The sequence below is a fragment of the Homo sapiens genome, chromosome 2 (assembly GCF_000001405.40).
Source record: "Homo sapiens chromosome 2, GRCh38.p14 Primary Assembly".
Taxonomy (NCBI): domain Eukaryota; kingdom Metazoa; phylum Chordata; class Mammalia; order Primates; family Hominidae; genus Homo; species Homo sapiens.
In genome coordinates, this window is record NC_000002.12 from 30,177,368 (window position 1) to 30,203,582 (window position 26,215).

The window sequence follows — 26,215 nt, forward strand, 5'->3', positions numbered from 1 at the left end:
AGCCATCCATTCAGATGTCCCACTACCCACCGGTGCACAGGAACAAAATTCTTGTCCTTCAGGGTTATTATGGTGGCCTGGTCACTTTGTTGTCCCCTCAGAAATGGATGTCCTTAGTCCCCTGCTGATCACAAAGCTCTGTATCCATCTCTCAGTTTCTGTCTCCTCTTGACTGCTCTCTGCTGTGACCACCTCTACTTCAACTACATTGAAAGACACTCAGTGCAGTGGTAGGAGCCTGAGTCACAGTGCCTGGGTTCACATCCAGCACCATCGGGTTCTTGCTTTGGGATGGGTGTCTAATCTTCCTGTGCCTCAGCCTCTTCATCTGCAAAATGGGGACAACAGCACCTACCTCATAGGGTTGTTATGAGATTAAAGAGAGTTGAGGCGTGAGATGTTAAGAACCGTGTTTGGCACATGGCAGCAATAGTTGCTGGCAGCTGCCCTCTGCTTCCATGGCTGTCTCTCTGTGGTCCCCCATCGAGTCCAGGTTCTGAAGAGGTCCATTTGACACTGTTCAGTGGAGTGTTTCCCTCCTGGAGGGACGGTTCTTGTAGATTCTGGCTTCCCTTATGTCTGCATAAATGTGGCTGCCTTTGATGACATAGTAAGGTCCCAAGGCACGGAGCACGGCACATCACAGGGAGGAGCCACCGGAGCCCATATTAATCCAGGAGGAATGTGGTCATCTCTCAGCTTCTCTCCTTTCCAGCAAGCAGTCCTTTCTGAACATCTGCAAGGAGGCAACATCAAACCACAAGCACTTCCAGGAAGACACAGTCCATGGCAGGGTACAGGAAGGCTCTGGGGATGATGATAATCAGAGCAGCATACAAGAACATTGTAGTTACTCTTTCATTAGTGGACATTTTAGAGGCTTGCCCTTCACTGTCCTTGGTTGGAAAATCCATTCCTTAAAGGGTGTGGCGACAGCCAATCTTTTCCCACCCCAGTGCCCCTGAGTGGCCCCCTCCCATTGGGAACAGCCTGTGAGGATATCAGCGTGTCTCAGGCTGGGGCATAATCATCTCCAAGGGGCATGATCCTCTTGATAAGAAACAGCCAGCTCCTTCATTTTCCTCAGAAGGAAAGCATTTAAGAGTGTGTTTCCAAGGTTCAGCTGCTCATCTAATAACAATAATAATTACCTTAATGTTCTTCAATAGGGGATTAGTTAAACAAATTATGGTACATACATGGTACATGATGCAGCCATTAAATGAAGTAGAACGATACACCGTATTTCATTAATCCTTATACCACTCTATATCTGTACCACGTGGGTGGCTTTGAAGTCAAAGGGCAGCGCCCAGTTGCATCCTGAATTAAAATCATCCCCCTGGATGGGAGCCAAAATTCCATTTCCATGCTGGCTGCCTGAAACGGGAGACAGATGACCCGGCATGAACAAGTTTCCTGGAACATCACTGGGAAGCCAAAAGGACATTGTAGAGATGAGGCTGAGGCTAGAATGACAATTTCTGGGAGACGGCAAGGTTCAGAACTGGATGTTCCAAGTGGAGGATGAGTATGAGTCACCAAATTGAGAAAGTCTCTAACACTCCCTTGCAGTAGCACAGTCAGATGGTCAGGCTGGTTCAAGGACGGCAAACTGCCTGCCTACCGGCTGCTGCCTTGAGGACTCAGCTGCTCCTATGGGACTGAACACCTGGGAAGCGTCAAAACAGACTGCTTTCCGCTGGAAATTAGAAGGACTAGCAGCGAGTCCTGTGCTAGGGAACAGAGAACATGTTTGGGAAAGGGTTAGAACATGCCCCAGAAATAACACAAGGCTGAACAGGCTCCAGAGCAGAGATGCTGCTGCCCACATGAGCATCTGCAAGGTCCCACCCAAAGGGGAGCTGGCAGTCCCAGAGCCACGTGGGAGAGCATTTCTGGGCAGGTCTCCTTCACCACTCTCAAAGGAGCATATGGCAGCATAGATAGCAATTGGGGCTGATATGCTGAATTCATAACCTTACAGCAGGGACTTGGGGAACATTGACATCTCCTGTAACTATTGCAGGGTGCTTTCTGCCTGGGACCTACAAGCAAGGCTTGGAGGTCCACACATGCCCTCACTGAGTTCCTGCTGCAATGGAGTCTTAGCCAGTTCATGCTGCTATAACAAAATACCATAAACTGGATGGCTTACAAATAGCAGGAATTTATTTCTCACAATTCTGAAGGCTGGGAAGCCTGAGATCAGGGTGCCAGCATGGTCAGATTCTGGCGAGAGCTTCTTCTGGGTTGCAGATGGTGTTCTCACTGTGTCCTCACATGGCAGAAGGGGTGAAAGAGCTCCCCTGGGTCTCTTTTGTAAGGGCATCAATCTCATTCATGAAGGCTCATGACCTAATCACCTCCCAATGGCCCCACCTCCTAATACCATCATCTGGGGTGTTAGGATTTCAACAAATACATTTGTAGGTAGACACTAACATTCAGACCATAGCAAATGGTATGCAGCAGAGATGAATAAACCAAGGTATCGGCTCCCATTGTTCTGCTCAGTCACCATCTACCATGAGTACCAGGGAGCTGAGGAAGAAGAGAAGCAACTCTAGCAGCCAGAAAGAAGCAGGATGACAAATGGAGCTCCGATCTGAAGGGTCCAGGCAAGCCTCCATTGAAACCAAGGCAGGTCCCTGATACTCCAGGTCTTAGTGGGTGTAGACAAGCAGGGTCCTAGGCCCAGGAATGTCAAGCATTGGACAGGAGTCTATAATTTGCTTTCCATCTAGCAGAATAGTCAATAAATGAGAAAACTGTGCTCCAGTCATTCACTCAAGAGGTTGGAAATGGCTTTGTATTAGTTGTCTATTTGCTGCCTAACAAATTGCCTCAACACTTAGTAGCTTAAAACAATAATAATTTACCTCTCACAGTTTCCATGGCTCATAAATTCAGACAGGGCACATCACAGTGAGGATGGCTTGTCCTTGCTCCACTATGTCTGGGGTCATGGCTGGAAGAAGCAAAGGCTGGGGCTGGCATTATCTGAAGACTCATTCACTCACACGCCTGACTGTTGATGCTGACTACAGGCTGAAGGCCCAGCAGGGACAGTTGGCCAGACACCAGCGTCAGCCTCTCCACGCAGCCTGGGCTTCTGCAGAGTATGGTGGCTGTCCAAGGGCCAGGCTCCTGAAAGAGGGCCAGGCAGAAACTTCATGCTTTTTATAACCTTGGGAGTCACAGAGTATCATTTCTGCCCCATTATGTTTGTTATAATACATAACACTAAGTCCTACCCATATTTAAGAGAAAGAGAAATAGCTTCCATCTTTAGATGGGAGAAGGGTTAAAGAATTTGTGGACCTATTTTAAAACCACCATAGGCCTCATAGTTACATGGATTTTGACAAATAGGGACATTTAAGGGTGACAAATAAGGGCATTTAAGGTTGCTCTCATATTCCGTTTTCTTTGCAAAACTAAGATGCTGAAATTTGAAGAAGATACAGATTGAAAGACCTTAAGACTTTAGCTTTTATGATGCCATGCCACCTCCAGCCTAGGCACGTAAGAAGGAGGTAAGAGGACTCATTTAGGCTCCCGCCAGCAGTTCCCAAAGGGCTCCCTCCCAGAGAGGAATTAAATATGCTCTGATGATTATGATGTAGGGAAGGGAGGCTTTCACCTGTAAATATAATAGGAGGCATCATTAGACATTTGGGAAGGTCCATAGAAAAGTCAACAGGGGGAAAGCGGGACTGGACAAAACCTACTAGCATGTAAGCAGGAATCTCTCTACTGTCATAGGTTTTACCCTAGTCTCTGTACACACTAGCTATCTAAATTACACATGCCCTAACATAACTACTCACCCTGCATGAGCATTAGTTTCCTCATCCTGTAAACGTGAATGATAATAGCAGCCATGGCATAGGGTTTGCACGGGAGTTAAGTGAGATCATTCATGTACTGTGCAGTGCCGACACTTCGTGCATTATCTTCAAGGTGGTTGTTGCTATCTATCCTGTTACCAGCTGTCCCCCAACTCCACCGCCTCTAAAGAAGATGCGAGCCCTGCCTGTTCAGTTGTCTTCCTCTTTCTGAAGCTTGGAGAGATCCAGCCTTGCTAGGGGAGTTTCTGGAGCTTTTCCTATGGGGGAGGAGAGAATGAGCAAGAGAAAGAAAGGAGGAAGCAGGACCCACACTGAGAGAGAAGTTTTTTAGGGAATTTTGAAGGAGGAAACGCAGGTCAGCTCAGGTGTGGAGCCAAGTGGAGTCAGGTGTGAGCCAAGAGAAAGGATTTTCTTTCTTTCTTTTTTTAAACGGAGTCTTGTTCTGTTGCCCAGACTGGAGTGCAGCGGCGTGATCTCGGCTCACTGCAGCCTCCACCTCCCAGGTTCAAATGATTCCCCTGACTCAGCCTCCTGAGCAGCTGGGTTTGCAGGCGCATCACCATGCCCAGCTAATTTTTTGTATTTTTATTAGCGATTCTCCTGCCTCAGCCTCCCGAGTAGCTGGGATTATTGGCGTGTGCCCCCATGCCTGGCTAATTTTTTTGTATTATTAGTAGTGATGGGATTTCACCATGTTGGCCAAGCTGGTCTTGAACTTCTGACTTCAAGTGATCCACCCATCTTAGCCTCCCAAAGTGCTGGGATTACAGGCATGAGCCACCGCGCCCAGCCACCAGAGAAAGGATTTTCTAAGACAAATCCTTTATGTGGTTCAAAAACTACAATGACCAACTTGAGTTTCTCTAGATTAACTTTTGGTTGTTGTGGATGTTTCTGGTCAGGACATTGCTCAGAGTCTGGGCCTTGTGCAGATAACTTTATAAGCATTACATAATTTTAACTAAAATGAAGGCTCCAAACTGTTGGTATAGCATGCTTCCATTTGTGTTAGGTTTTTACATAGAAAATTTCTAGAAGAAATAAAAGTAACCATTAAGAGTAGCTTTCTCTGAGCTACAAGAGATACTGATTTTTCATTTTATACCATTTGTTTTACTAATTTTTTTCCAACCTGAGCACATGTAACTTTCTCTATTTAATGTAAATTAGTGTTTTTAAAGAAATGGCCATTTATTAAATCCCCATTAAATATCCGTCAGGGATTTTTATTTTATTTTATTATTATTATTATTATTTTGAGACAGTTTCGCTCCTGTTGCCCAGGCTGGAGTGCAATGGCACAATCTCGGCTCACCGCAACCTCCGCCTCCCAGGTTCAAGTGATTCTGCTGCCTCAGCCTCCCAAGTAGCTGGGATTACAGCCATGCGCCACCACGCTTGGCTAATTTTTTTGTGTTTTTAGTAGAGACAGGGTTTCTCTATGTTGGTCAGGCTGGTCTCAAACTCCTGACCTCAGGTGATCTGCCTGCCTCAGACTCCCAAAGTGCTGGGATTACAGGCATGAGCCACCGCGCCCAGCCACCAGAGAAAGGATTTTCTAAGACAAATCCTATATGTGGTTCAAAAAATACAATGACCAACTTGAGTTTCTCTAGATTAACTTTTGGTTGCTGTGGATGTTTCTGGTCAGGACACTGCTCAGAGTCTGGGCCTTGTGCAGATAATTTTATAAGCATTACATATTTTTATCTAAAATGAAGGCTCCAAACTGTTGGTATAGCATGCTTCCATTTGTATTAGGTTTTTGCATATAAATTTTCTAGAAGAAATAAAAGTCACCATTAAGAGTAGTTTTCTCACTGGGTGCAGTGGCTCACGCCTGTAATCCCAGCACTTTGGGAGGCCAAGGCGGGTGGATCACAAGGTCAGGAGATCGAGACCATCCTGGCTAACATAGTGAAACCCCGTCTCTACTAAAATACAAAAAAAAAATTAGCTGGGCGTAGTTGCTACTCAGGAGGCTGAGGCAGGAGAATGGCGTTAACCTGGGAGGCAGAGCTTGCAGTGAGCCGAGATCACGCCACTGCACTCCAGCCTGGGCAACAGAGGGAGACTCTGTCTCAAAAAAAAAAAAAAAAAAAAAAGTAGTTTTCTCTGAGCTACAAGAGATACTAATTTTTCGTTTTATTTTTATTTATTTATTTATTTTTTGAGACAGAGTCTCCCTCTGTCACCCAGGCTGGAGTGCAGTGGCACGATCTCCGCTTGCTGCAACCCCCTACTCCTGGGTTCATGCCATTCTCCTGCCTCAGCCTCCCAGTAGCTGGGACTACAGGCACCCACCACCACGCCTGGCTAAGTTTTTGTATTCTTAGTAGAGACGGGGTTTCACCGTGTTAGTGAGGATGGTCTCGATCTCCTGACCTCATGACCAGCCCGCCTTGGCCTCCCAAAGTGCTGGGATTACAGGTGTGAGCCACCGCGCCCAGCCTAATTTTTCATTTTATACCATTTGTTTTACTAATTTTTTTTCCAACCTGAGCACACATAACTTTCTCTATTTAATGTAAATTAGTGTTGTAAAGAAATAGCCATTTATTAAATCCCCATTAAATATCTGTTAGGGATTTTATATGCATTGTATCTGATCCACACAACAACTTTGCAAGATTGATTTTATCTCCTATTTTATAGATGAGCAAACCTAGGCTTGAAAGATGAAGTGAATGTATTGGTCAGGATTCTCCAGAGAAACAAAATCAACAGGAAAGAGAAAGATTTATTTTAAGGAATTGGCTCACGTGATTGTGGGTGCTGGTAAGTCCCGAATTCATAGGGCACGCCAGCAGCCTGAAAATTCGGATAAGAACTGATGTTACCGTCTAGAGTGTGAATTCAGCAGGGCAGCAGGCTGGAAACTCAGGCAGGGTTTCTGTGTTGCAGTCTTGAAGGAAATGCCTTCTTCTTCTGGAAACCTCAGTCTTTGCTTTACTTAAGGCCTTCAAATAATTGGATGACGCTCAACACATGATGGAGGGTAATCTGCTTGACTCAGCCTCTACTGGTTGTGTTAGCCACATCTAGGAAATACCTTCATAGCAACATCTACACTGTTGACTCAACATCGGGCACTGCAGCCTTGCCCGTCTAACACATAAATTAACCATCACAGTGAATTGGCCAAAATTTCACAGCTAATAAATTGTTAGTCTGGATTGGAACCCACAGTCCCACAGTCTGGAGCCAAAGGCTAGAAGTGGATGAGCAGACTACAGGCATAGGGTATACACAAATGGCTGGCTGTCTTGGGCGAGTGGAGTAAAGAAGAGGGTAAGGCATAACCCTTGCAAGACACTCCCGGATCAGATGGCAGCTCTCCTGCGCTTCTCCACTGAGCTCTGATGCCAACTAACCGGGAGACACTGGAAGTCACTCCTCTCTCCATCTGTGCTGTTGGTTTTTTCCCTCCTCCGAAGGGAGAGATTAAAGTAAATAGTCTTTAAGGGCCCTTTAAGTCGTACATGTTAAGATTCAATGCCGCTGAGAGGAAACACAAATTAATACCACAATAATGTACCACTATATGCCCATCAGAAAGGTTACAGAGACTGAAAATGCCAAGTATGTGTATAACTCAATAAGAAAAGGCAAAAGTTACATATTTTTATATATATATATATATATATATATAATTACACAAAAGAAGCTACACTATTTTTTTTTAAATAAACGCAAAGAGGTGGTTCTCATAAAAGTCAGGATACCACTGTCTTTAGTGAGGAAGGAATGAGTTATAATCAGGAAAAAGCCTGATAGGGCTCCTTGAGTCCAGATGGTGTTCTGCAGGTTTCTTGACCTGGAGGTGGTTGCACAGATGATCACTTACAGTAATCCATTAAGCTCTTCACAACATTTAGGTTTTATATACAGTCATGCAGTGCATATGGACATTTTGGTCAGTGATGGATCACATATACAATGGTAGTCCCATGAGATTATAACACTGTATTTTTACTGTACCTTTTCTATGTTTATATATGTTTAAATACATAAATTCTTACCATTGTGTTACACTTGCCTACATATTCAATATGGGAACATTCCGTCCAGGCTTGTAGACTCAGAGCAATAAGCTCTACCATGCAGCCTAGGCGTGTAGTAGGCTACAACATCTGGGTTTGTGTAAGTACACCCTGATGTTTGCACAACGATGAAATTGCCCAAGGACACATTTCTCAGACTCTGTTCCCATGGTTAAGTGATGCAATACTGTACTTTTATGTATAGATGGTATATTTTACAATAAAAATTTCTAAAAATAAATAAGAAACTTCGAAGTTGCTGCTCTCTTGATGCCCTGGAAGACAGGAGGCTCTGGGAAGAACCCCAGGCAGACAGCTTCAGCTCAGAGGCCTGACTCCCGGGCCAGGGTTCTGGCCACTGGCTCTGCTACCTTTCCGTACGAGGAAGGGACTTTGAAAAATTTTCTCTCCCTGTTCCACTCCTTTCAGGGCTCTTAATCAAGAGGAGGCACATCTTATTATAGAAGGCGCCTTCCATTTCACTCCAGACACAGCCTTCTCTTCCCTTGTCTGATGTGTTGATTAGATTTCAGGCAGGATTACCGGGGTTGATGCCATTAAGTAAAAAGTTATCTCCTTTGGAAACAGCCCAGAAAGTCTGGATTCCATTTTTAAAAGCCTCAGATCCCATTAAAGATGAAACATTGAGAACCAAGTGGATTTAGATTGGGTGGGAGAAATCAGAACTCCAAGTGCTGGCAGGCTCATGTGAACACCTGGGTGGGGAAGGGGGAAGAGGGATGGCGGTAAAATGGGGACAAGGAGTGTACTTTGGCAGTAAGATCAGCAAATTCTCAGCAACTCTCTTCCTCAAGAGCAAGTGATCAATAAATCAAATACTGCCCATCTGCTAGGCAGTCACTGAATAAATTACGGTATGCTCACACCATGATATATTGTGCGTCCATTAAAAGTACAAATTAGAGTTACATCAATGGACTTGGGTGGATTTCCACCAGGTATTATTGATTGAGAAAAGCAAGATACTTCAGCCTTTAAAGCATCTGTAACATGCTCCTATTGTATAAAACAATGACAAACAACCCTCCTCTTATGTACATGAATACTTCTGTACATGTATATGTGCCCATATGAGTCTGCATGTACGGAGCAAAATATGGAAAGAAACATACCAGGTTGTTAACATCAACTACCCAGCAAGATTTTGGGTGGTGGTGGGTGCTGAAGAGGATGGAGGAGACATGAAAGGTGGAACCAAACAAAAGAAAACCATGAAAAACAGCCAGCAGGAATGATAGGATCACATGTATGTGTTTATGTAAAAACGAATAAGGGGTGGGGAATTTAACTATGTATTGCACCTCTACTTTCTCTAGCCCTATCTCAGGCATTGTAAAGAACAGAGGACAGCTCTGTTGGCCGGAAGCTTACACTCCCTTTGGGAAAACAAGGCAAACCCATGCAGCACTCAGTGAGCAAGCCAACATAATTCAACGTTCGAATTCCCTATCTCCTGAGTTCCTATCACTCTATTATATTGTTTATTTAACAAGCATTTCTTCAGGCCACACTAGGTGCCAGGTGTGATCATTGTCCCTGAGGAGTTAAAAAAGCAATATAATTAGAGATGGATATCTAGTGCTAAGTAAATATTATCAAATGGGGTTAAAATAGCTGTAATTTGGACAGAGAGAGGTGCTGTATGATATTTTGTCTTTATAGCCTTTGTAGTCCATCACATCAGTATCTAGGGCTGGAGAAAGACCTTATCACCCATCTAGTGTAACTTCTATATATTAATTATGAGGAAACTGAGGCCCTGGGGGAGCAAATGAGAGTAGTCCCTTCCAGTGATTAGCAGAGCTGAGCTACAGCCCACAGCTCAAGAACCAGGCTTGTTTCTGTCCACCACACAATAGTGTCTTCAAGCAAAACTAAGAACAAATAATGTCTGAGAGTGAAGGATTTGATGTTTTAATGATCTTTCATCTGAAGCAGCAAATATAATAGGGAAAATATGGTGCTATAGGTTCAATTGTCTCCCCCCAAAAGATGTATTCAGGTCTTACCCTCTGGAACCTATGTATGTGAGCATATTTGAAAATAGAGCCTTTGTGGTATCGATGACTGCTACACCTCAGCCCGGGGCTGCACTGCCACCCTGGGCAACTTCAGTAGGTAGGTGGTCCACGCATGGGGCATAGCCATGGTCTCTCAGCTCTGCTTAACCACACGGGTCCAGTGTGTGCTTGGCGTGTTTTCAGGGAGGCAGAGAAAGGCTCTCCTAATGCACGACAGACCCGCCCAGAATGGCCTCTCTGTTCCTAGGAGTGTGACAATTTTTGGGTTAAAAAAAAAAAAAAAAGAAAATAGAGCCTTTGCCTATGTAATGAAGTTAAGATGAGGTCATACTGGATTGGGGTGTTTCCTAAATCCAGTATGACTGGTGTCCTTATAAGAAGAGAGAAATGTGGACACAGAGATACAGACACACAGGGGAGAAGGCCACACCAAGATGGAGGCAGAGATGGAATGCTGTATCTGTCTGTAAGCCAAGGAGCTCCAAGGCCTGCCAGCAACCACCAGAAGCTAAAATAGGCAAGGACGGATCCTTCTCTAGAGCCTTTGGAAGAACATGACCCTGTAGACACCTTGATTTTAGACTTCTAGCCTCTAGAACTGTAAGATAATATATTTCTACTGTTTTAAGCCATGCTAATATACATCGCTTGGAGTTTGTTAGATCTAGGTAAAATCTTGTTTTTGTTATTTACAAGACGGATGATCTTGGACAAACCAACAAACTTCGTTGATCCTTGGCTTCATTACTGTAAAACAGGGATAATAGCAGCACCTCGGTTGCTGTGAGGATAAAACAAGGTAACTCATGGACAGCACCCAGCTCCTAACCACTCTACTGAACTCTGGGAAAGGAAATGGACCAGGCTGGGCTCGGGGAAGGTAGCAGGCTCTGAGTCCCTCTTCCCCTGAACCTCATGATGCCATGTGGAGCAAGGCTGGCCAATTCATCTTTTTGGCTGGAATTAACCTACAGTAATGGCTTGCATGCTGTAGAATAGCTATGCTGTTGGCTGAAGCCTATCCCTCCCTGACAGTAACAACTTAATGGTCTAGAGAGTGATGCTGAGGCAGGAGAATGGGGTCTGGAGGGAGGGAACATAAAGCCAATTCACACTGACTTCCTAGAACTCAATCAAATAGAAACACTTCAGCTATGACAGGAAATACCCTCTCCATTTACATAGGGCGTACACCAACTAAATGACTTTGTAACTTTACTACATTCTCCTCATTTACATAGAGTGTACACCAGTGAAAACCTCTAGAGGGTATTTAAATGCCCCAAAATTCTGTAACGGGGCTCTTGGGCCCTTATGCTCAGGCCCACTCCCACCCTGTGGAGTGAACTTTTGTTTTCAATAAATCTCTGCTTTTGTTGCTTCATTCTTTCTTTGCTTTGTGTGTTTTGTCCAATTATTTGTTTGAGACGCCAAGACCCTGGACACCCTTCATCATTATCAATGCTACAGAAAACTGAGATGACACTGATAAGAGAGGGCATTGGTTTGAGCAAAAGACCCAGGTTCTATTCCTGGCTTGAAGACTTACTCTGTTGACCTTGGAATTTGCATCCCAGTAGGAATAACAACACCTTCAGCCTCATAAAGCATTAGTAAAAATGAATGTGTTCTTAAAAGTCCTTTGAACAATGGAGCAGAGCTACCAAAAGACAAACTGAGTCAGCTATAGATACAGATGTAAATTTAGGTTTCGCTTCTAGAGTAAGGGAAAGACAAAATTCCTGTTTGCCTGCATATATCCATTAAACTCCTTTTGAACAATTGCTAGGATCTGAGGACACAAAAATGAGTAAGATGCAGTTCCCTGTCCTCAAGTCCTTGCAATCTGGTGAGGAAGACAGTGCAAGAACCATGAGAACAGTCAGAAGCCATGATCCTGACTTGAGAAAGGTCTGGAGGTTTCTGGAGCTTGAATGGAAGGAAGGATGGTCAAAGAAAGCCTTTCAGAGGAGGAAACTCTGTGTCATTTTTTCTATTGCCAATTTTAAAAAGTGATTCTGGTCTCAAGATCTCAGAAAAAGCTATCATAAGTCATGGAATCATCTCCTATTTATTTTACAATGTATGAAAAATCCTTGATCTCCCTCTTTGCCTCATACCTTCTAAGAATGAGGTACCTTAAAAACACATCCACACAAAAACCTACATATGGATGCTTTTAGCAGCTTTATTCATAATGCCAAAACCTGGAAGCAACCAAGATGTCCTTCAGGAGGTGAATGGATAGGTAAACGGTGATACATTCAGACAATGGAATATTATTCATATAAGATACAATAAATCTTTCTGAGTTTGTCTTCAAAGGGTTTAGCCTATTAACTTCCTTATCCTTTGTTCTCAAACTCAACTTTCTTTTTCTTCCTTGCCCCTAGTTACTGTAAACAGCCTACCCCCTTCCCGTCAGCTCTAATCAATAACTCACGTCTGTTCCCTTGGTTACCTGTACCCATTGTTCCCCCAAAAACTGCACGTCTCACACACTCCACCTCTGTACCTCACGTTCCGCCTCCCCTTTTATATTTAGAAAAATATATACAAGTAGCCAATGGGGTCAGCTCAGATTGTGCGGTCCGACCCCAGCCCATGGGGGGGGGTGACACAGAGATAGGGACTGCATTAAGGATAAAAACCCCCTGGTCTCCTTTGTTCTCTATGCTCTTGCCATCTTGATCAATGCAAGTGGCACCCGTCTGCAGAAGTAAATTGCCTTGTTGAGAAAATTAAACTTTTGCCTGCGTGCTGGTTTTACTTCGCGGCACCAAGCATTTATTCCTGAAGCGTTTTATATCCAACATTCAGCACTAAAAAGACACGAACAGCCGAGCGGGGTGGCTCACACCTATAATCCCAGCACTTTGGGAGGCATAGGCAGGGGTATTACCTGAGGTCAGGAGTTCCAGATCAGCCTGGTCAACATGGCGAAACCTTTTCTCTACTAAAAATACAAAAAAATTATCCAGGCGTGGTGGTACGTGCCTGTAATCCCAGCTACCCAAGAGGCTGAGGCAACAGAATTTCTTGAACCTTGCAGTGTTGTAGGAGTTATTACGAAATTATCTGGCCAGGCGCGGTGGCTCATGCCTGTAATCCCAGCACTTTGGGAGGCCGAGACAGGCAGATCACGAGGTCAGAAGATCGAGACCATCCTGGCTAACACAGTGAAACCCCGTCTCTACTAAAAATACAAAAAATTAGCCGGCCTGGTAGCGGGCACGCCGGTAGTCCCAGCTACTCAGAAGGCTGAGGCAGGAGAATGGCGTGAACCCGGGAGGCGGAGCTTGCAGTGAGCCGAGATCGCGCGCCACTGTACTCCAGCCTGGGTGATAGAGCGAGATTCCGTCTCAAAAAAAAAAAGAAAGAAATTATTTGAGACAGATAGAGAGGAAAAAGGGTCCTTGGGAAGTCCCAGCTCTTAGAGCTGGGCCGGCAACTTTTGATATGCAAATGCAGGCCATTAGAAACTGGGCCTACCCAAACATGGCGGTTACTGCTGCCTTCTTGCCCTTGCCCCACATGTTCCTGGCAACGTCCGCCACATATCCCCACATGCGTAGAACGTCACAGCGCCCTGCATTTGCATATTAAAAGGCTAGGAAGGGAGGGCCAGCTTTTTCCCTGCTACGTGAATAAAACATGCCTGGTCAAACCAATCCGCTAAGCCCTGTGCAAATCAGATCGCCTCCTCCGGCCTCTGCATGTATACCTGGCTGGCGTCCACCACACTTGGGGCCCTCCTCTTTCGGCTTTGGAGCCCCCCTCCCTCTGTCTCTGTAAGGGGAAGCCTCTAAGTTCTGCCTTCTTTCTTGCCTATTAAACTCTCCGCTCTTTAAAACCACTCCACGTGTGTCAGTGTTGTTTTACCTAATTCAAGGTAAGACAAGAGCCCTGGTGTCCCTCCACTCATGGGAGCCGTATCAGCAGTGAGCCGAGATCACGCCACTGCACTACCGCCTTGGTGACAGAGCGGGACTCCGTCTCAAGGAAAAAAATAAAAGACACTAGCTATCAAGCCATGACAAGACATGGAGGCACCTTAAGTGGGGATATTAACCAAGTGAAAGAAGCCAATCTGGCAAGTCCACCGCGCCCTGCCTGCCTTCCTCCTTTCTGGTCATCAAACTGTTTGCTTCTAACAGTGCCCAGTGAGTAGGATTCTATTGAGTGCCAGGTGTAGGAGGAGAGATGCCAGCAGGAAAAAGGAGAAGCAATGCTGGCTGCTTCATGGTACCTGTTAGCTTGAAAACACAAAGATGCTCTCCCTGCGTCTTGTTTGACAAGCGATCGGCGGGAGGCGCGCTTGTTGGCATGAACAGGAACCACTGCCTGCTTTCCTTGACATGGAAGAGCATGAACTTCTTTGAGCAGATCTGTGTGGCAATGTCACCCTGAAATGAAAGTGCCCGGAGGGTCACAGGACACCCTGCTGAGGATAGAAGAGCCAGTAATCCCAGGGCTATGGAATTGAACAGCAGAGCAGCCCAGCGATAATGGAGGGGAAATGTCACAGAGGCCCTGAAAAGAACCCTGTGCCTTTGAGGAGGTAAAGCCAGGGGGAGGGGCAACTGTGACAGGGGCTGGGGCGGAGAGGGTGCCTCCTCACTTCTCTCTGCCCCTTATCTTTCCCACCTCCTTGTTATCTTACGAGGAGCTGTGCTAAGCCTTTCATGTGCCTGTTTTAGTTTTGGACTGACAGCCTGAAGATAACCTCACTTCTTTTATGAGCAGTGGGACCCTGAGTTATCACTTAGACCCTCTGAGGCTCCATTCCTACGTGAGAAGTGGGGACGTTAGTTCCTGCCGTAGTCACTGAGAGTGTGGGCAGCAGTGGCAACCCAGGCTTAGAGGAGGGTGGACCAGGCAAGGTCCCTGACGCCTCTACCCACCCAGACCTGCTTGGGCTAGTGAATAGAGACATGATGCCTCTCGTGCAGGTTTTAGGGGAGAATTTTCTTCATTAAAAGCTACCGTTCGAATGCCTCCTTGGTGCCAACCACACTCACTATATCATTTCATATACAATGCCCCGCTCGTATAACTACCTATGAGAGGTTAAATGGTTCCCATTTTGCAAATGAGGAAACTGAGGAGCAGAGAGTTTTGATGCTCAAGGTCACAGAGCCAGGCCTGTGGGTGCACTACACTGTCTGCAGTGTAGCAGGCTCTCGACAGCCATTGGTTCTCTCCCTGCCCCTTCATTCACAGGACTGATGTAAGAATAGGCAAACTGTGGAGACAGTGAAAAGATCAGTGGTTGCCCGGGAGGGATTTATAGGCAGAGCAGAGAATTTTTAGGCCATGAAGCTATTCTGTATGATGCCATCATGGTAGATACATGTCACTATATATTTGTCAAATGACAAGGCATTTGTAAACAATAGATGAAAATAGTACTTTATAAATATAGGCAGCTTTTTTAAATATATACAAAAGTCCTCTATTTTGTAAGTTGACATTTAAAACTAAGAAAACATCACAAATTTATAGTCCTGTAAATATTCCTTAGACTAGGATTACAAAGAGTGTTCACCAACAGAAAATATTTCTACAGTTCCCCAAAAAGATTTACTTAAACCATCCAATGACTCATTTTTATGGTACTGATGTAGTTTTGAAAGTCAAATAACAGTCTGTAAGGACCGAAAATCAAAATAGAGCTTTCTGTTAAAAAAAAAAAAAAATCATTTAGCACTCGTGGAAGATATTCAATTAGGAAAAATAGAAAGAGTTATTTTTCTTCCTGGTGGCTATCTCATATCATTTCATTTTCTGTTCATCTCCACTGCATTCCCGCAGCGGGCGCCTCCTCCATGCACAGCTGCGCTGGTCTCTGGTTTCGCCACCTCTGTTCCCTCTTCACTGGGCTGTGACTTTGGTTATAACTAGTTGTGCCTTCCCAGAAGCCGGCAGGGGAGGCCCCCAGGATGGAGCCAGGGTTATAGGCGAAGTACCCAGGCAGGGCCAGCCTCATGGACACGTGTGTGACCAGAGCAGCCACCCAGGGCCCCACACTCATCAGGGCCCCCTGCGCTCAGGACTGAATGCTCTGCAGTGGCTATCTTGAAATTCTTAGTAATTCTTTCTTTGAATTTGTGCTTTGTAAGTGAAGTCTGACTCACAACGGAGCCTCATCTCATTCCCTGTCCCTCCCCCTGCTGCCTCCCTAGGTCCCTCCTCCCCACCTCCTGGTCTCCAGCCCTGCCTGGCCTTCCCCTCCACGCTCCTGTCCTGCCATCACTGCTATCCTCTGCCCAGGGTGGTGACCAGGTCGCATCAGCAGGGACAGACCCACATTTCTGGGCACAGGCATGGGAGGATTAGGGTCAGACACACACGCTGTGACATCTTGGGATGAGGCAAGTCGGCAGCTGTCCTCTTTCAGGGCTGGCACAAGCAACTCAGCCAGAACCTCCCTCCACCCCCGATGCAGCTACCAAGTCATCCCAGTGTGGAAGCTGTCATCCCTTGGGGGTCACCTGGCCTCTCTGGCTTGGATGGCAGCTGGCAGGCCATGGGAAGGTGAAAATGCTTTCCTGACCTAGCAGGGGCTCTGTATTTTTTTTTTTTTTTTTTTTTTTTTGCATCTGCATCAAATTATGTAGCCAGCCTTCCCCTCAGGTCTCTCTTCCTGCCCTTCAGTGAGCACCAGGGTCCCCAGGTCCTGTTTCCTTCTCTCTGTACCACCTGGATGGTGCTCTCGTCCTTCCTCCTGTTCCTCTTCTAAGCCCAGCTTAGATTCTGCCCCTGCCCCAGCCAACACTTGCCTTCATCAGCGTCCTCTTCCTTTCCGTGCCCATGGCGCTTAATGCAGCCTGGCTCTTGACCTAGTGGCCTTCACCTCTTTGGGTCTCAGTTTCGTCTTCTTTATAATGGGGGAGAGAAGATGTGGCCAGCTCTTAGGAGCCCGTCCCCAAGGAAGGATACACATTTGTGGGCCTTGCTCCTCAGCAAGGATGCGAAGAATTCGAAGGATGAAACTCAGGCTTCCCTAGTGCATGCCTCAGTCCTCATCCCTATGTGCAGCCCAACACAAACATTTTCGCAGTGTCTCTTGAATTGAATTCCTTAGAACAAAGGTGCGTCAGCCCTTTCAGACTCGCCTGATCTCTTGCCCATTGTGACTTCGAGTTTTTGCATCCATCATGCGTCTCTCAGTTCTTCCAGCTGTTTCCAGTGGGCTGAATCCATCACAGTAGGAAACCTGGATTAACCTAGAGGTGGCCTCTCCTGCCTGTGTGTCCATCAGAGGCCACTGCTGCCCCAGTGTGGGTGCCCGGGGACAGCTTCCCTGACGCACTGTAGCCATCCTGCTCAAGTAGGGAGCACTCCTGACCTCTGTCACCAGCTGGAGGATCAGCTGCCCTTTCGTCCAGACAGCCACTGGCAGCCACTTGGCCAGACACCAAGGGGGATGATGGCTTGAAGGTAGGCAGCCAGTGTGGGAGTCAAGCCTTCATACAGCACAGTCAAAAACTCGTAAGTGTTTGTGCAAGGATGGAATCTGCTTTCCAGGGGAAGCAGCGTAGGCCATGGCCCTCAACTCTGTCTGGTGATAGAAAAAAGGCAAGAGACAAGTCCCTCGCCCAAAGAGTGCTAGTGCCAGAGACAGTACAGATTTGAACACAAATAGTCAGGAGGACCACTCTACTCTCTGGGCTTCTCAAATTTTATCATGTACAGGAACCACTTGGGGAGATTATTTAAATCCAGGTTCCCAAACCTCACCCTGCAGAGGGTCTGATTCTGTAGGTCTGAAGGGAGGTAAGGGGGGTGCTGAAATCCCAGTTTATAGCAAGCACCTCTAGTAATGTTGCTGCCCTCTCCACAGACCACACTTGGAGGGCAACTCCCCCATCAGCGAGCATCAGGCCACCTACCCTGCCTGCCCAGGCCACAGCCAGCGACTGGGGGCCAACCACGAGCTGATCCACAGATACTGAGGCTTGACTTCAACTACTGAGCAAGAATAAGAGACAGAGGAGAAACTGGCCAGTTTGTGCAGACCTGAGATAGAAGGTCAGGTAGCCTCGAGGGCTGGACAGCTATGCTGGGTTGTATTAGCCTGAGAAACAGAAGAAGCCTGTGATAGGGTGGAGAACAGAGAAGATGGCTGGAGAGAGACCCAGAGAGAGAGAGAGAGAGAGAGAGAGAGAGAGAGAGAAAATAGGAACCACCGCTAGAGCTGCCTTTCTCCTTTCCTTCCTTTCCAAGGTCTGAGGCTTCAGCCACGTTACCCTGGGTTCTTGTGCACCTGCACCCATCCAATCAGCCCTCCATTCCTGGGGTAACTTGGTTTTTCCTCTAAAGTGCTCTGACACACAGGACAAGCGCTGACCCTTGGCTGGAGCAGGCCCACCTCCCTGGTTGTGGTGGGGAGAACCTGCCTCTGGCAGCCTCTAGGGCCCTGGCCTTGGTGATATCAACAGCAGGGTGTATGATGGTGCATTCTTATTCTCTATTTTCTTTTTTCTTTCTTTTTTTTTTTTTATTTGAGACAGAATTTCACTCTCGTTGCCCAGGCTGGAGTGCAATGGCGCGATCTCAGCTCACTGCAACCTCCAGGTTCAAGCAATTCTCCTGCCTTAGCCTCCAGAGTAGCTTGGACTACAGGCATGCGCCACCATGCCCAGCTAATTTTGTATTTTTAGTAGAGATGGGGTTTCTCCATGTTGGTCAGGCTGGTCTCAAACTCCTGACCTCAGGTGATCCACCCACCTCGGCCTCCCAAAGTGCTGGGATTACAGGTGTGAGCCACCGTGCCCAGCCTCTCTGTTTTCTAGGATAGATTCCTGAAAGGGGAATTCTTGACTTGGAGGGTGTGAACTTTTTTTTTTTTTAATGTTTTCCTTCATGTTTCTCATATCTGCTTTCCAGAAACCCTGATCACGTGCCTGTTCTGTGGTTACACACTGAGCAAGCAAAAACCCCTTGCTGGGTGGAGAGATTCATGGCGAAGGGAGCCAAACAGGGCTGCACCATACTGGGAAAGACTGCTCAATGTCAAGCGCAATCGCTGCGGCTTCTGTTTTCTTCAAAGAAAGCAGATTCCATCCTTGCACTAACACTTATGAGTTTTTGACTGTGCTAGTCAAGGGTTTCTGCTGTAAAAAGTTGAAACCATTCTTGGTTTTCTTAAATAGAATGAGGAAATTCTGGAGGGTGTCATCAGCTGAATAATGTCCCCCCACAGATATCCATGTCCTAGTGCCTGGAACCTGTGAATGTGTTATGTTACCAAAAGGGACTTTGCAGATGTAATTACATTAAGGATCTTGAGATGGTGGTATTATCCTGAATTATCTGGTTAGGTCTGATATAATTACAAAGGTCCTTAGAAGAGGGAGGCAGGAAGGTCAGAGTCAGAGAAAGACTTGTGACATCGTCAGAAGTGGAGGTCAGAGAGACTTGAAGATGCTGCACTGCTGGCTTTGAAAATGGAGGAAGGAGGCCAGGTGCAGTGGCTCACGCCTGTAATCCCGGCACTCTGGGAGGCCAAGGTGGGTGGATCACCTGAGGTCAGGAGTTCGAGACCAGCCTGGCCAACATGACAAAACCCCATCTCTACTAAAATTACAAAAATTAGCCGGGTGTGGTGGTGCGCGCCTGTAATCCCAGCTACTTGGGAGGCTGAGGCAGGAGAATTGCTTGAACTCGGGAGGTGGAGGTTGCAGAGAGCCAAGATTGCACCACTGCACTCCAGCCTGGGCGACAGAGCAAAACTCAGCCGCTAAAAAAAAAGAGGCTAGGCGTCGTGGCTCACACCTGTAATCCCAGCACTTTAGGAGGCCGAGGTGGGTGGATCACCTGACCAACATGGAAAAACCCCGTCTCTACCAAAAATACAAAATTAGCCGGGCGTGGTGGCATATGCTTGTAATCCCAGCTACTCGGGAGGCTGAGGCAGGAGCATTGCTTGAACCCAGGAGGCAGAGGTTGCGGTGAGCTGACATCGCGCCATTGCACTCCACTCCAGCCTGGGCAACAGGAGCAAAACTCCATCAAAAAAAAAAAAAGAAAAAGAAAAGAAAATGGAGGAAGGGACCCTGAGTCACAGAATGCAGACAACCCCTTTAAGATGGAAAAGGCAAGGAAATGGGTTTCGCCCTAGAGACTTCAGCAAGAACCAGTCCTGCCAACACCTTAATTTTACTCTGTAAGACCTATTTCAGAATTCTGACCTCCAGAATTGTAAGACAATAAATATATGTTGTTTTAAGTCACTGAGTTTGTGGAAATTTGGGAGAGCAGTATCAGGAAATTAATACAGAAGGCTCCAAGCAGCTGAGAACTGCCGGGGAGGCTGGAGAAACTGGCTCAGGCAGGGAGACACAGCAGAGCCCTGCCCCAGGAGTGGCCTGCTCAGGACGCTGCCCCTACTGGACACTTGCCACTGCCTCGGTGAGCACCCCTCCCTGGGACATGTGCAACTGCTGCCAGATCCCACCTCACTTCACACCTTCATCTCGCCCCCTCAAGACTCAGGCGGGAGGTCTGGACTGACCTCACATGGCAAGTGCCCACACAGTAGGTGCCAGGGCTGAGAACACAGTTTCCAGTTTCCAAGGTGCAGCAGGGACCCTGTCTCTGGGTTATCTCAGAAATCCCCCAGATAGGAAGGTATTCAGATGGCAGCTGACTAAAATGGCAAATTTCCACCAGAGTGGCTTTGGGCAGGCTGCCAAGCCTCTCTAGACCCCAGTTTCCACATCTTCAGATAAAAGTTTATGGCCAGGCATGGTGGCTCACACCTGTAATCCCAGCAATTTGGGAGGTCAAGACAGGAGGATCACCTGAGGTCAGGAGTTCAAGACCAGCCTGGCCAACATGGTGAAACCCTGTCTCTACTAAAAATACAAAAAATTAGCCGGGTATGGTGGTGCATGTCTGTAGTTCCAGCTACTCAGGAAGCTGAAGCATGAGAATTGCTTGAACTCAGGAGGTGAAGGTTGCAGTGAGCCACGATCGTGCCACTGCACTCCGGCCTGGGCAACAGAATGAAACTCTGTCTCAAAAAAAAAAAAAGAAAAAGGTTTACTATTTATCTAAGGTCACTTCCAGTATATACATTCAATAAATATTTGTTAATTTAGTGTTGGGGAGGGAGGTGGCCAGGAGTGGAATGGAGCCATTTGTTTGTTGGCATGGAGTTCTGAGTAAGAGCCCCTCAAAGTCCTGGCCCTGGGAACCACCTCATTGTAATGGCCCTAACCATTCTCTACTATAGGTCTAGAAGTCACAGACTCTTGATCTGCAGAAATCTAGGTCTTTACGCATTTAAACCCACAAAATTTGAATTTGTACATTGAGACTCTTTGAGAAGCTGTCTGCTCTTGAGGTGAAGGGAGTGGAGACCACAGCTCTATATGGACCCCAGAAAATCCTGCACGTGAATCCTTAACAACTTAGCCAGGAGCAGCACATTCAGTCTCCTCTTCATGGGGGCACCCAGGCAACACGAGTCTTCAGCAAGAAACAGCCCTGCTGACACCTTAATTTTATCCTGTAAGGCCTATTTCAGACTTCTGACCTCCAGAATTGTAAGATAATAAATGAGTGGTTTTTGAACAACAGAAATCTATTTCTCACAGTTCTGGGGTCTGGAAAGTCCACGATCAAGGTGCTGGCAGAGTTGGTGTCTGATGAGGGCCTATTTCTTGATTCATAGATGGTGCCTGCTGGCTGCATCCTCTGAGGCCTTAGGCAGAGGCCTTAGGCAGGAGACACACCATAAACCAAATTCCTCTGACCAATTTCCTGAAGAAAACATTCAGAAAAAGGAGACATAAAGCAATATGCTGCTGGGAAAAGTCATCCTGAACACCAGGGTTTCCTAATTCCCTACTCTGTTCTCGGGCAGGGAATCAACTGAGATGATTAACAACTTACACCCAAACCCCACCATGTGCCAGAGAGAGCAGCACTGTGAGAATTGCCTGATTTAAACACAAGAATCGACTGAGTCACAAAAGAACCTCCATTATCCATCACCTAGATTCAACAATTATCAAAGGGGATCCAGATTTTCTTCCTGCTATGGTCTGAATGTTTGTGTTGCTCCAAAAATCACACATTGAAACCTAATCATCAGTTTGATGGTATTAGGAGGTGGGGCCTTTGGGAGGTGATAATCTCCTAATCTTACCTTCCAAAGGCCCCACCTCTTAATACCATTCTATTGGGTTGATATTAGCAGACTGGAAACTTTTAATGGAGGCCCCAGAGAGCTGCCTTCCCATTCCAACATGTGAGGACACAGCCAGAAGGCACCATTTATGAACTAAGAAGCAGGCCCTCATCAGACACCAAGTTGGCCAGCACCTTCATCTTGGACTTCTCAGCCCCCAGAACAGTGTGAAATGGATTTCTGTTGTTCAAAAGCCACCTAGTCTATGCTATTTGGTTATAGCAGCCCAAATAGACTTAAGATACTTCATTTATCCTTTTTTATCTTTGCTGAAAAGAAAAAAGCACTAAGCACTGTGTCATTTCAGTATGCATCTGAAAAATGAGAACTTTTCCTACAGAGCCCCAATGTCATTGTCACACCTACCAAAATTAGCAGGAATTCCTTAATATTATCTCGTATCTACACTCTAATTAAGTTTTCCATTTATCTCAAAAATATCCCTTTAGAGATGGTTTACTCTAATTAGGACCTGAATCAGGTCTACACATTGCATTTGGTGATTCTGTCTCTTAATTCTCTTATAACCTAGCAGTCCACCCTCTCCCATTCTTCACTCCAATTTTTCTCCAACCTATTGGTTTGCTACAGAAACTGGGCCAGTTTTGTGGTAGAATAAGTTAGCCAAAGATTAAAAAGAGGAGGACATGGTGGCACTATCATGGAGGGAGGATGGGTTTGTAGAGTGTCTTAGGATCAAAGCCTGACACTATGTGTCATTGTGTGTCACTGAGCCCCTCAATATATCCACTGGGGTTTGATCGAAAAGGAAGAGCCACTATGAGTGATATAGAATGAAGACATTTGGGGGAATTAGACCTTACACAATTGTGGGAGCTGATTCAACAGTCTGCCCAATGCAGCTGTTGCCATGTCCAGTGTTGGTCCTAAGTCAGTAGAGCCAGCAGTTGGAAAGGAGAGATGAGTGTGAAGAGGGGGAGAGTAAGACTAGATTAGAACCCATGAAGACAAACTGGGACCCTGGAGGACAAACTGGAACTCACATTTGTCTCACTCTCTTTCAGTGATGCAAGTGACCTGCAGGATTCACTGGTGCCCCACAGAGCTGCACAAGCTGGCCCAGGATTTGGAGAAGCAGAAGATTCGACAAGACCAATAAGGGCTGTGGACTCAGCTGCTGTTTCACGCTCACAAGGTGGCCAGGAGACCAGCAATTGTGTGCTTGAGCCCACATCAACCTTCAGAGCATAGAAATGGCTGCTATTTCACTTCCACTTCCAAATCTCATGAACTCCTCTTATGGCCAACCCTAGCCTAGAACAGTACAAGAAAGGGAATTCTGAAAATTCCTTAGTATTTCTGGTTAAAGTGATGTACATAGGCACCAAACTCACGTAAGGATAGCCTCTCCCATAGGAATGTGGCCAAGCTTACACAAGTGTACAGCAGGGTTGGAGGTCTCCCTGGCCCCTTCAGTTCTACTGCTCATGTCTTTCCCTGCCTTTAGGGCTAGCAGCAAATGATGCAAGTGTGTGCTGGTGTGGGTAAAAATCCAGGGCTCCAGGCGGAGGGCTGTCTTGCTATAGACACAAATCTCTTTGAGGATAGACTTGTATTCCCAGCAAAAACCTGGTCCCTGCGGGAAGGGAATGGAGCCAAGAATGCATATAGACATCTGAGCGTCTCCAAACGTGGCTGAGAGCAGGGGTTATTGGAATGTACTTCTTTTTTTTTTTTTTTTTTTTGAGACAGAGTCTTGCACTGTTACCCGGGCTGGAGTGCAATGGCACAATCTTGGCTCACTGCAACCTCCACTTCCTGTGTTCAAGCAATTCTCCTGCCTCAGCCTCCCAAGTAGCTGGGATTACAGGTGCCTACCATTATGTCCAGCTAACTTTTTGTATTTTTAGTGGAGACGGGGTTTCACTGTGTTGGCCAGGCTGGTCTCAAACTCCTGACCTCATAATCTGCCCACCTTGGCCTCCCAAAGTGCTGGGATTACAGGCATCAGCCACCATTCCCGGCCAGGGATGCACTTCTTACAGGCAGCAGAAATAGCCCCTCTCTACCCCAAACTCCGTTTAGAATTTGAGTTCACCACAGATTATGTATAAAAATCAACATTAACAATAATGATAACTAATATTTTGATAGTGATTAGTATTTGCCAGGCACTATTACAAATATTTTATATACACACCACTTTAACTCATGTAACAAATCCATCAGCACTAATGGACTAGGCCCTGCTTGGTTAAAAAAAGAAAAGGTGACAACCACAGACTAATACTATTTAGGTATAAGTTACCACAGATGATTTCAAGATTTGACATTACGTTTTTTAAAAACTTTCATCTTATCAAGAGCTATTTTCATGGAAATGGAGTTTCACTGAACAAGAATATTGTAATCTGCCAACAAGGTCGAAGTACCCTAAGCTTCTCCCGTCAAGAGACGGAGTCTATTTCTCACCCCTTGAGTCTGGGCTGGCCTGTGACTTGCTTTGGAATGCCATGCAAGTGACAGCTCACCAGTTTTGAGCATAGCCCTCAAGAGACTTTATAGCTTCAGTTCTCTCTTAAAATCTAGTTTTGCCACATGGGACAAGCCTAAAAGAAAAGACACTACATGGAGAGAGGCCCCAGATCATCCTGGCTGAGGCCCCAGACAAGTGAGTGTGTCCAGGGAACAACAGCCAAGCTTAGCCCAGACTGAAAGGACCTCCCAGCTAAGCCCAGAATCAGGAACTGAATAAATTATTGTTGTTCTTAGTCACATGATTTTGTTATGCAACCAAAACTGATATGGGGGAGACACTAAAAGCTAGATTTTACGTCTGCCTGATATCCTGGGCTCTTAGTGTTCTTTTCAAAATTCTTTCTGCAAATTCATGGAGTCACCTGTACCCTTCATGATGGGTACTGATTGATGGAGTTTAATTGTGTCCCTTTTATTCAAACAAACATTTCTCCCCTATCAAGTATATTTTTAAATTCTGACAAGAAAACATGGAAAATATAGAAAAGATTAAATAAGGAAACAAATAAAACTATAATTAAATAATCCACAGATAGGGACTGTTAATATTTATGGTTTTTTCTTTCACATATTTTTCCATTATATATTATAAATGTATACATATGCATATCATATTATTCTACATGGGTGTATATATTATACACACGTGTATTATATAATTAGTTTATGTAGTTCTGAATCCCACTTTTCTCTTCACAAGATTCTTATATATTCCCAGCCATTAAAATTCTTGGAAAACATCACTCTAATGGGTATAATTGCCCATCATAAAGATATATCATAATTTATTTAACTGCTTCCCAATTGTTGGACATTATTCTGTCTTCAATTTTTTATTATTATAAGTGGCAATGTCATGAACATCTGTGTACATCTTTGTTCAGATCCTTGAATCTGTCCTCAGGAAGATGGAATTGCTGGGTTAAAGAGCACCAGCATTTAAAGTTTTATCCATAAAAGGAACTACAATCCAAACATCTCGGGAAGAATATCTAAAGGAAGACAATGTTTATCTCTACTCCTGATGTTTAAGCCAGGAACAGGTCTGCTTTTGTTTTACTGGTACTAGGTCGGGAAAGAAATGCTCAGTGAAACAGAAGTCCAGGCATTCAGTTCTGGACGCCAGGGAACCCTAGCCCAGGGCCCCTCTCTACCGAATTGCTCAGACCCTCCGTGACCACTCTTGAGGTGTGTTCTCCTGGCTGGAGAGAGGAGATGCAGGCTGGAGAAGACATGGCGGAGTCCAGGGACCATTCTTGTCCTGGCTCCCGGAACACGCTCCTCTTAGGGGTTTCATTTCCCTCTAGGCTGGGAATGCTGCCAGGGGGCTGAGGAACTGATGTTCCCAAGGCTGGTACATTTGATTTTCACTCTTGGCTAGAATTCAGAGCAGAGAAAAGTAAACTGCATCTGGGCCAAGGTGAGCCTGTCTCCTTGGAGGTCCTTGGGCTAAATGGAGGAGAAGGGTATACAGAGCTGAGAGCCAAGGAAGCCGATGAGGAATTGCACTTGGGTGTGGAGAACAAAACTACGTGGCCATTGATTGACTCAGGAGCTCTGCTGGAGGTGCCCTTG

The 26,215-nt window shown here is 45.9% G+C and overlaps 2 long non-coding RNA genes and 1 other non-coding gene across 4 annotated transcripts, besides 3 other annotated features; 2 read left to right on the forward strand and 1 right to left on the reverse strand.

Moving 5' to 3' along the window:
• Window positions 1-1,570: 1,570 nt before the first annotated feature.
• LOC105374414 (uncharacterized) lies at window positions 1,571-13,939 on the reverse strand. Of its 2 annotated transcripts, none has more exons than XR_939929.4 (3): window positions 3,834-3,921; window positions 2,883-3,150; window positions 1,571-1,736 (listed from the first exon to the last, which is right to left on the reverse strand). It is a non-coding gene; the product is annotated as an uncharacterized LOC105374414 (long non-coding RNA). The 2 variants fall into 2 exon arrangements; XR_001739381.3 differs by lacking the exons at window positions 1,571-1,736; window positions 2,883-3,150 and adding exons at window positions 3,432-3,646; window positions 13,432-13,939 and having other exon boundaries at window positions 3,834-4,111.
• On the forward strand, window positions 10,067-10,199 carry SNORA10B (small nucleolar RNA, H/ACA box 10B). Its single transcript, NR_145719.1, has one exon. It is a non-coding gene; the product is annotated as a small nucleolar RNA, H/ACA box 10B (small nucleolar RNA).
• Window positions 12,858-13,556: an enhancer, noted in NCBI's record as "H3K27ac-H3K4me1 hESC enhancer chr2:30413091-30413789 (GRCh37/hg19 assembly coordinates)". NCBI's record gives its function as "activates a minimal SCP1, AML or CMV promoter by ChIP-STARR-seq in primed H9 embryonic stem cells {active_cell/tissue: H9 hESC(primed)}" and the evidence as "EXISTENCE:reporter gene assay evidence [ECO:0000049][PMID:30033119]".
• Window positions 13,660-24,873, forward strand: LOC124907749 (uncharacterized). Its single transcript, XR_007086267.1, has 2 exons — window positions 13,660-14,500; window positions 23,167-24,873. It is a non-coding gene; the product is annotated as an uncharacterized LOC124907749 (long non-coding RNA).
• Window positions 15,656-15,950: a silencer, noted in NCBI's record as "tiled region #12598; K562 Repressive DNase matched - State 5:Enh". NCBI's record gives its function as "represses a minimal TATA promoter and a strong SV40 promoter by Sharpr-MPRA in K562 cells {active_cell/tissue: K562}" and the evidence as "EXISTENCE:reporter gene assay evidence [ECO:0000049][PMID:27701403]".
• Window positions 16,178-16,737: an enhancer, noted in NCBI's record as "H3K4me1 hESC enhancer chr2:30416411-30416970 (GRCh37/hg19 assembly coordinates)". NCBI's record gives its function as "activates a minimal SCP1, AML or CMV promoter by ChIP-STARR-seq in naive H9 embryonic stem cells {active_cell/tissue: H9 hESC(naive)}" and the evidence as "EXISTENCE:reporter gene assay evidence [ECO:0000049][PMID:30033119]".
• Window positions 24,874-26,215: the final 1,342 nt, after the last annotated feature.